The following is a 10,894-nucleotide window of genomic DNA, read 5'->3' on the forward strand; positions in this document are numbered from 1 at the left end:
GGTGAGGTGGGTGGATCATGAGGTCAGGAGTTCGAGACCAGCCTGGCCAACATGGCAAAACCCTGTCTCTACTAAAAATACAAAAATTAGCCAGGTATGGTGGTGGGTGCCTGTAATTCCAGCTACTTGGGAGGCTGAGGCAGGAGAATTGCTTGAACCTGGGAGGCAGAGGTTGCAGTGAGCCAAGATTGTGCCATTGCACTCCAGCCTGGGTGACAAGAGGAAGACTCTGTCCCCCTACACCAAAAAAAAAAAAAAAAAAGAAGGTAATTCACCATTTCAACAGCCCAAGAAGAAAAACCATATGATCATCTCAATAGATGCAAAAAAAAATTTAGCAACATTTAACACCTATTTATAATAAAAACTCTTAGCAAACTAGTAATAAAAGAAACTTTCTTCACCTGAAAAAGAACATCTGTTAAAAAAAAAAAACTAAAACTAAAAGACTTACAGCTAACGTCATACTAAATAGTGAAAGCCTGGGACCAGGCACAGTGGCTCATGCCTATAATTCTAACACTTTGGGAGGCCGAGGTGGGAGCATCCTTTGAGCCCAGGAGTTCAAAACTAGCCTGGGCAACACAGTGAGACCCTGTCTCTACAAAGATTAAAAAATTAGCCGGGCATGGTGGCATGCACCTATGGTTCCAGCTACTTGGGAGGCTGAGGCAGGAGGACTGCTTGAGCCAAGGAGTTCAAGGTTACAGTAAGCACAACTGCACTCCAGCCTGGAAAAGAGAGTGAGACACTTTGTCTTAAAAAAGATAGTGAAAGAACTAATGTTTCCTCCTAATATCTGGAACAAGATAAGGATATCTGTTGTCTTTACTCCCCTTCAACATTGTATGAAATCATAACCAGTACAATAAGGCAAGAACAACTAAATAAAAGGCATGCAGATTTGAAAAAAAAGAAATGAAAATGTCTGTGTTCTCAGACAACATGATAGTCCATGTAGACAATTTCAAAGAATCTACAGAAAAGCTTCTAGAACTAATAAGTGAGTTTAGTAAAATTGGAGTTAATATTGAAAATTAATTGTATTTCTAAATGATCAGTTAGACAAGATAAATGAATTTTTTTTTTTTTTGAGACGGAGTCACACTCTGTTGCCCAGGCTGGAGTGCAGTGGCGCGATCTCGGCTCACTGCAAGCTCCGCCTCCTGGGTTCACACCATTCTCCTGCCTCAGCCTCCTGAGTAGCTGGGACTACAGGCGCCCGCCACCACGCCCGGCTAATTTTTTGTATTTTTAGTAGAGATACGGTTTCACTATGTTAGCCAGGATGGTCTTGATCTTCTGACCTCGTGATCCGCCCACCTCGGCCTCCCAAAGTGCTGGGATTACAGGTGTGAGCCACCGTGCCCAGCCAGAAATGAGTTTTTAAGGTTGATTGCATAGCATGGTCACCATAGTTAATAATAATGCACTATATATTTAAAAACTGGCTAAAATATATTTCAAATGTTCTCACTACAAAAAAAAATGATACGTATATGAGGTGATGGATATGTTTTCTTTTTTTGTTTTTTTTTTTTTGAGACAGAGTCTGGCTCTATTGCTGTGGCTGGAGTGCAGTGGCGCGATCTCAGCTCACTGCAACCTCCGCCTCCCAGGTTCAAGCGATTCTCCTGCCTCAGCCTCCTGAGTAACTGGGATTACAGGCCTGCACCACCATGCTTGGCTAATTTTTGTATTTTTAGTGGAGACAGGGTTTCACCATGTTGATTAGGCTGGTCTTGAACTCCAGACCTCATGATCCACCCACCTCAGCCTCCTAAAGTGCTGGGATTACAGGTGTGAGCCACCGCGCCTGGCCTGTCAATTAGCTTTTTCTTTTTTATTTTTTGAGACAGAGTCTTGCTGTGTCACCCAGGCTGGAGTGCAGTGGTGCGATCTTGGCTCTCTGCAGCCTCTGCCTCTTGAGTAGCTGGGACTACAGGTGTGTACCATCACAACTGGCTAATTTTTGTATTTTTAGTAGAGACGGAGTTTCGCCATGTTGGCCAGCCTCGTCTTGAACTCCTGACCTCAAGTGATCCACCCTCCTCGGCCTCCCAAAGTGCTGGGATTATAGATGTGAACCACCGTGCCCCGCCAGCCTCAACAATTTTGAAGAAGAAGAAAAACACTGGAGGACTGGCACTAAATCTGATTTCAAGATTTAGTATAAAGCTACACAATCAAGACAGCATAGAGCCAGGCACGGTGGCTCACGCCTATAATCCCAGCACTTTCGGAGGCCGAGGCACGCGGATCACAAGGTCAGGAGAATAAGACCATCCTGGCCAACATGGTGAAAACCCGTCTCTACTAAAAATACAAAAATTACCCGGGCATGGTGGTGCACGCCTGTAGTTCCAGCTACTCAGGAGGCTGAGGTGGGAGAATCGCTTGAACTGGGGAGGTGGAGGTTGCAGCAAGCTGAGATCGAGCTACTGCACTCCAGCATGGTGACAGAGTGAGACTCTGTCTCAGAAAAAAAAAAAAAAAAAAAAAAAAAAAGACAGGGTAGTACTGTGTTGGTGAAAGGATAGACATTTGCATCAATGGAACAGAATAGAGTCCAGAAGGGGACCTACGGAAGCATGAGCAATTGATTTTTTTTTTTTTTTTGAGATGGAGTCTCACGGTGTCACCCAGGCTGGAGTGCAGTGGTGCGATCTCGGCTCACTGCAACCTCCTCCTCCCAGGTTCAAGCGATTCTCCTGCCTCAGACTTCCTAGTAGCTGGGACTACAAGTGCCACCACACCCAGCTAATTTTTGTATTTTTAGTAGAGACGGGGTTTCACCATATTGGCCAAGCTGATCCCGAGCTCCTGACCTCGTGTTCCACCAGCCTAGGCCTCCCAAAGGGCTGGGATTACAGGCGTGAGCCACAGCGCCCGACCTAAAATTACAAAAATTATCCAGATGTGGTGATGGGTGCCTGTACTCCCAGCTACTCGGGGGGCTGAGGCAGGAGAATCACTTGAACCAGGGAGGCAGAGGTTGCAGTGAGCCAAGTTCGCGCCACTGCACTGCAGCCTGGGCTATGAAGCCAGACTCTGTCTCAAAAAAAAGAAAAATAAAATTTTCAGAAGGAAAACCAAAGAAAATATTTGGAACCTTGGGTTAGGTAGAGTTCTACACATAATATCAACAGTAAAATTCATAAAAAAAAAATAAATGGTAAGCTGATCTTCACCAATATAAAAAACTTCTGCCTGGGCGCAGTGGCTCACACCTGTAATCCCAGCACTTTGGGAGGCCAAGGCAGGCAGATCACCTGAGGTCAGGAGTTCGAGACCAGCCTAGCCAACATGGCGAAATTCCATATCTACTAAAACCACAAAAATTAGCCAGGTGTGGTGGCGGGCAGCTGTAATCCCAGCTACCCAGGAGGCTGAGACTGGAGAATCCCCTGAACCCAGGAGGCGGAGGTTGCATTTAGCCGAGATCACGCCACTGCACTGCAGCCTGGGCAACAGAGCGAGATTCTGTCTCAAAACAACAACAATATAGAAAACTTCTGCTCTGCAAAGAACATGTTTAAGAGAATGAAAGATAAGCTGCAGTCTGGGAGAAATATTTGCAAGTCACCAATCTGACAAAGGACTTTTTCTAGAATATATAGAAAACATAAGACCGGGCGCGGTGGCTCACGCCTGTAATCCCAACACTTTGGGAGGCTGAGGCGGGCAGATCACGAGGTCAGGAGATCCAGACCATCCTGGCTAACACGGTAAAACCCCGTCTCTACTAAAAATACAAAAAAATTAGCCGGGTGTGGTGGCACGTGCCTGTAGTCCCAGCTACTTGAGAGGCTGAGGCAGGAGAATGGCGTTAACCCGGGAGGCGAAGGTTGCAGTGAGCCGAGATCGCGCCACTGCCCTTCAGCCTGGGTGACAGAACGAGACTCTGTCTCAAAAAAAAAAAAAAAAGAAAAGAAAACATGAAACACAACAATATGAAAACAGCTCTCGGCTTTCGGCTCGGAGGAGGCCAAGGTGCAACTTTCTTCCGTCGTTCCGAATCCGGGTTCATCCCACACCAGCCGCCTCCACCATGCCACCGAAGTTCGACCCCAACAAGATCAAAGTCGTATACCTGAGGTGCACCGGAGGTGAAGTCGGTGCCACTTCTGCCCTGGCCCCCAAGATCGGCCCCCTGGGTCTGTCTCCAAAAAAGGTTGGTGATGACATTGCCAAGGCAACGGGTGACTGGAAGGGCCTGAGGATTACAGTGAAACTGACAATTCAGAACAGACAAGCCCAGATTGAGGTGGTGCCTTCTGCCTCCGCCCTGACCATCAAAGCCCTCAAGGAGCCACCAAGAGACGGAAAGAAACAGAGAAACATTAAACACAGTGGGAATATCACTTTTGATGAGATCATCAAGGTTGCTCGACAGATGCGGCACCGATCCTTAGCCAGAGAACTCTCTGGAACCATTAAAGAGATCCTGGGGACTGCCCAGTCTGTGGGCTGTAATGTTGATGGCCGCCACTCTCATGACATCATAGATGACATCAACAGTGACAAAGCAAGACTCCATCTCAACAAAAAAAAAAAGAGGGAGAAAAAAAAAAGTCTTGCTCTGTCACCCAGGCTGGAGTGCAGTGGCACGATCTTGGCTCACTGCAACCTCCTCCTCCCTGGTTCAAGTGATTCTCCTGCCTCAGCCTCCTGAGTAGCTGTGATTACAGATGCCCACCACCATGCCCAGCTAATTTTTGTATTTTTAGTAGAGACGGAGTTTTGCCATGTTGGCCAGGCTGGTCTCGAACTCCTGACCTCAAGTGATTTTGCTCGCCTCGGCCTCCCAAAATGCTAGGATTACAGGCCGTGCCTGGCCAGTTCCTTACTATTTTGATGGGTGAAAACTGACATTTTGTTATAGGTTAATGCATAGTTGTGTATTTATGAGTGAGGTTTTACAACTTTCATATGTTTAAAAGCCACTTGTGTCCTATTTTCTGTGAACTGAACTCTTCATTTCCAACTACGCTATCAATCTTTTTCTTACTGATTAATGAGAGTCCTTTATAAAGGAAATATATCTTTATGATACTGTACAGTAGAGTTAAGTTCATTCAGTGGGTGGATTCTGCTGATAAAAACCAATGTGAAAATCACTCCTCTGCTGCTCTGCAACCTAGCCTTGATAATAAAAGCTTGCCCTTTCATTCCCTTGGGAACCTTCCTCATTTAGAGCCCCAATCATTACCACTTGCCCTATATGGTTGAAATTTTAGGCCAGTGTTTCTCAGGCATGGCACTGTTGAAATTTTGGCTGGATAATTATTTGTTGTAGATGGCTGTTTTCTAGATTTCTAGAACGTTTAGCAACACCCTTGGCTTCTATCTGCTGGATGCCAGCAGTACATCCTTCTCCCAGGTGTGACAACTAGAAAAGTCTTTGAAATGTCAAATGTCCTCTAGGGGATGGAGGGCAAAATCTCCCAGTTGAGAACCACTGATCTAGGTTTATATACTGCTGGTGGAAGGCAGGCTGCATGACTAAACTGCCTATTTGTTATAGTTTGGAAATTTCACACAGCTCCCCAAATGGTGTTTGATAAAGTGCAGAATCTTAAGTTCTGTTGGAAAGTACAACATTTGTCTTTTAACCTCGTCAAAAAGACAAAACAGGCAGAAGGATGCCTTGAGGTCAGGAGTTTGAGGCCAACCTGGGCAACATAGCAAGACCCCATCTCTATTAAAAATTTAAAAATTAGCCAGGTATGGTGGTACATGGCTGTAGACCAGCTACTTAGGAGGCTGAAGTGAGGATTGCTTGAACCCAGGAGTTTGAGGCTGCAGCAGCAAACTATGATTGTGCCACTGCACTCCAGCCTAGGCAACATAGTAAGATCCTGTTTCTGAAAAAACAACATATTTTAAACCATGAAAGAGTAGCATCTGTTAAATGTGTAGGTATGCCTAGGAAATCTAAAATGAAGAGACGTAGGACAATAAAGTCAGCCAACTGCTCAAGCCTCAAAGAGTGGGAGGGTCACCAGAGCTCAAGGGCTAGCGCTCAGCTTGCAGTTACAAAAAAAGTTACTCTTTTTCCTTTAAATTTCTGAAAAAAGTTCTCATTTTAATAATGTGAAATTTTAGCAAGAAATAGTTATTAATGTGTCCTCAACCCTCCCATCTATGTCCAGGCCCCTCAATCAGGGATGTTAAAATGTTAACATTTTGATATGTAACTTGCCATACTTTTTCTAAGCCTCTACAGCCTTTTTTTTTTTTTTCTTTTGAGACAGAGTCTTGCTCTGTCACCCAGGCTGGAGTGCAGTGGCGCGATCTTGGCTCACTGCAACCTCCATCTCCCAGGTTCAAGCGATTCTCTTCCTTCAGCCTCCCTAGTAGCTGGGACTACAGGCATGCGCCACCATGCCCGGCTAATTTTTGTATTTTTAGCAGAGACAGGGTTTCACTATGTTGGCCAGGCTGGTCTCAGACTCCTGACCTCGTGATCCACCCACCTCAGGCTCCCAAAGTGCTAGGATTACAGGCATGAGCCACCGCGCCCAGCCTTATAGCCGTATTTATATGTAGATATTTTTTCTTTTTCTTTCTTTCTTTTTTTTTTTTCAAGACAGGGTTTCACTCCTGTCGCCAAGGCTGGAGTGCAATGGTGCGACCTCAGCTCACTGCAACCTCTGCCTTCTGGGCTCAGGCAGTTCTCTTCCCTTAGATTCTCAAGTAGCTGGGACTACCAGTGCGCACCACCACGCCTGGCTAATTTTTTTTTTTTTTTTTGAGATGGAGTCTCCCTCTGTCGCCCAGGCTAGACTGCAATGGCATGATCTTGGCTCACTGCAACCTCCACCTCCCGGGTTCAAGCGATTCTCCTGCCTCAGCTTCCTGAGTAGCTGGGATTACAGGCATGCACCACCATGCCCAGCTAATTTTTGTATTTTTAGTAGAGATGGGGTTTCACCGTGTTGGTCAGGCTGGTGTCGAACTCTCGACCTTGCAATCCGCCTGCTTCTGCCTCCCAAAGTTGTGGGATTAAAGGCGTGAGCCACCGTGCCCAGCCCACACCTGGCTAATTTTTGTACTTTTTATGGAGATGGGGTTTCCTCATGTTGCCCAGGCTGGTCTCAAACTCCTGGGCTCAAGTAGTCTCCCTGCCTTGGCCTCCCAAAGTGCTAGGATCACAGGTGTGAGACACCGCACCTGCCCTTGTATGTAGATTTGTATATAGATTTTGACCTAGGCCTGGCGCCATGTCTCACGCCTTTAATCCCAGCACTTTCCGAGGCCAATGCGGGTGAATCATCTGAGGTCGGGAGTTCAAGATCAGCCTGGCCAAAATGGTGAAACTCTGTCTCTACTAAAAATACAAAAAGTAGCCGGGCATGGTAACGCATGCCGGTAATCCCAGCTACTACCCAGGAGGCTGAGGTGGGAGAATCGCTTGAACTTGGGAGGCAGAGGTTGCAGTGAGCCGAGATCGCGCCACTGCACTCCAGCCTGGGTGACAGCAGGAGACTTGGTCTCAAAAACAAGAAAAAAGAAAAAAAAAAAAAAAGACATTGACCTAAAAGGAAGAAGCTGAGGCACAAAATATAATTTAAAGAGTTTAACTGAGCCAAAGTGAAGATAGCTGCCTGGAAGATTCAGACCCAAGTAATCTTGGATATGAGCTTCACTCAGCTCCTTATCCATTACAAGAAGGTTTTTTAAGTGAAAAAGTGGGCGGGGAGTGAGCCAATAACAAAGGTATCTGTCAGAAATTCTCATTGGTTTACAGAAAAAGCAATGATTAGTGATTGGCTATACATTGTTAAGTTATAGGGTGCAGTTTATAGTGTCTGGTGTGGCATTATTGGATGAATTTTTTTTTCTTTTCACTCTTATGATATGCTGAAGCATTGGGTGAATTTATAGCTACTTGTGGCAAGCAGTTTCAAGAGACGAATACACAAAGTGGGGAGTAAGTTCTGTCACCCAGGCTGGAGTACAGTGGCGCAATCTCGGCTCACTGCATCCTGGATCTCCCCAGGGTCAGGTGATCCTCCCACCGCAGACTTCCAAGTAGCTGGGACTACAGGCATGGGCCATAACACCTGGCTAATTTTTGTATTTTTTGTAGAGACGGGGTTTTGCCATGTTGGCCAGGATGGTCTTGAACTTTTGACCTCGAGCAATCTCCCGCTTCAGCCTCCCAAAGTGTTGGGATTACAGCTGTGAGCCACTGTGCCCAGTCTGCTGTCTCGTTTTTATGTCTCTTTGGGCCTAATAATTTAAAATGACTCACATTCATCAGATAAAAATACTTTTCTTTTCTCATAGGCATATAGAGGTTTAAAAAATAATAATAATTGGCCAGGCACAGTGACTCACACCTATAATGCCAGCACTTTGGGAGGCCAAGGCGGGTGGATCACGAGGTCAGGAGTTTGAGACCCGCCTGGCCAACACGGCGAAACCCTGTCTCTACTAAAAATATGAAAATTAGCCGGGCATGGTGGCACACACCTGTAGTCCCAGCTATTGGGGAGGCTGAGGTGGGAGAATCGCTTGAACCCAGGAGGTGGAGGTTGCAGTGAGCCAAGATTGTGCCACTGCACTCCAGCCTGGGCAACAGAGAGAGACTCCATCTCAAAAAAAATTTAATTAATAAAATAAAATAATAATAAAGGGATATTTATTAAATAAGAAAGGACAATAATGCACACATTACTGTGCAACTTGCTTTTTTCACTCACAGTGTTTCACACACACTCCTCAACAACGACAGTTACAAACCCTTTTATTTTTTCATTTTTTATTTTTTTATTTTTTTTGAGACAGAGTCTCGCTCTGTTGCCCAGGATGGAGTGCAGTGGCGCGATCTTGGGTCACTGCAACCTCCGCCTCCCGGGTTCAAGCAATTCTCCTGCCTCAGCCTCCCGAGTAGCTGGGACTACAGGAGCCTACCACCACGCCCGGCTAATTTTTTTGTATTTTTAATAGAGACGGGGTTTCACTGTGTTAGTCAGGATGGTCTTGATCTCCTGACCTCGTGATCCACCCGCCTCAGCCTCCCGAAGTGCTGGGATTACAGGTGTGAGCCACTGCCCCCGGCCTAATTTTTGTATTTTTAGTAGAGACAGGGTTTCTCCATGTTGGGCAGGCTGGTCTCAAACTCTGACCTCAAGTGATCGACCTGCTTCTGCCTCCCAAAATGCTCGGATTATATACGTATAATTTAAATAAATGTTTCCAGATTACTTTCCAACATTATGTCAACAATGTATCAGTTTCTCCATATTCTGCTTAGCAACAGACAGTGACAATAAAAACTTTTTTTTTCCTTTTGCCTATTTGAGGGGTGAAAAGTAATACCTTGGTTTTTTGTTGTTGTTGTTGTTTGTTTTTTTTTTTGGTGAGATGGAATCTCACTCTGTCTCATGATCTTGCGATCTTGGCTCACTGCAGCCTCTGCTTCCTGTGTTCAGCGATTGCCTTGCCTCAGCCTCCTGAGTAGCTGGGATCACAGACCTGTGCCACCACACCTGGCTAATTTTTAGTAGAGACAGGGTTTCACAATATTGGCCAGGCTGGTCTCAAACTGTTGACCTCCTGCCTCAGCCTCCCAAAGTGCTGGGATTACAGGTGTGAGCCACCACTCCCGGTCATGTTTTAATGTTATTTTATTTTATTTTTGAGACGGAGTCTCACTCTGTCACCTAGGCTGGAGTGCAGTGGCGCAATCTCGGCTCACTGCAACCTCCACCTCCCAGGTCCAAGTGATTCTCGTTCCTCAGCCTCCCGAGTAGCTGAGATTACAGACGTGCACCACCATGCCTGGCTAATTATCGTATATTTTTAGTAGAGATGGGGTTTCACCATTTTGGCCAGGCTGGTTTCGAACTCCTGACGTCAAGTGATCTGCCCACATTGGCCTCCCAAAGTACTAGCATTACAGGCATGACTGACCGCACCCGGATGTTACTTTATTTATTTTTTTTGAGATGGAGTCTCACTCTGTCGCCCAGGCTGGAGTGCAGTGCGTGATCTTGGCTCACTGCAAGCTCTGCCTCCTGGGTTTCCGCCATTCTTCTGCCTCAGCCTCCCGAGTAACTGGGACTACAGGCGCCCACCACCACGCCTGGCTAATTTTTTTGTATTTTTAGTGGAGACGGGGTTTCACCATGTTAGCCAGGATGGTCTCAATCTCCTGACCTCATGATCTGCCCGCCTCAGCCTCCCAAAGTGCTGGGATTACAGGCGTGAGCCACTGCGCCCAGCCGTATTTTATTTTTTTGAGTTAGGGTCTTGCTGTGTTGCCCAGGTTGGAGTGCAGTGGCTAGACCGTGGCTCACTGCAGCCTCGACCTTCAGGCTCAAACAGTCCTCCTGCCTCAGCCTCCCAAGTAGCTCGGACTACAGGCGCAAAGCAGGATGCTGGACTAATTTTTAAAGGTTTTGGAGAGATGAGGTCTCACTGTGTGGCCCAGGCTGATCTCAAATTCTTGGTCTCAAGCCATCCTTCCACCTCAGCTTCCTAAAGTGCTGGGATTATAGGTATGAGCCATTGTACTTGGCTAGGACATTTTTTCACTACGTATCCCTGACTACTAATAGGTTTGAGCATATTTTAAATTTTTATATTGTCAAATATTTTTATCATTTAAAAAATGGCTCCTGCCTTGCTAAAAAGTTCTTTCTTGATCCAAAGTTATAAATATTCTAAAATGTCATATTTTTATTTTTGTATTTTTTCATTTAGATCTTCAATCCATCTGGAATTTTTAATTTTTTATATTTTTGAGATGAAGTTTTGCTCTTGTTGCCCTGGCTGGAGTGCAATGGTGCAATCTCGGCTCACTGCAATCTCCGCCTCCCAGGTTCAAGCAATTCTCCTCCCTCAGCCTCCCAAGTAGTTGGGATTACAGGAATGTGCCACC

General features: G+C 45.9%; 1 pseudogene; it reads left to right on the forward strand.

Moving 5' to 3' along the window:
- RPL12P8 (ribosomal protein L12 pseudogene 8) lies at positions 3,964-4,523 on the forward strand (annotated as a pseudogene).

Source organism: Homo sapiens, chromosome 10, assembly GCF_000001405.40.
Source record: "Homo sapiens chromosome 10, GRCh38.p14 Primary Assembly".
NCBI classification, from domain to species: domain Eukaryota; kingdom Metazoa; phylum Chordata; class Mammalia; order Primates; family Hominidae; genus Homo; species Homo sapiens.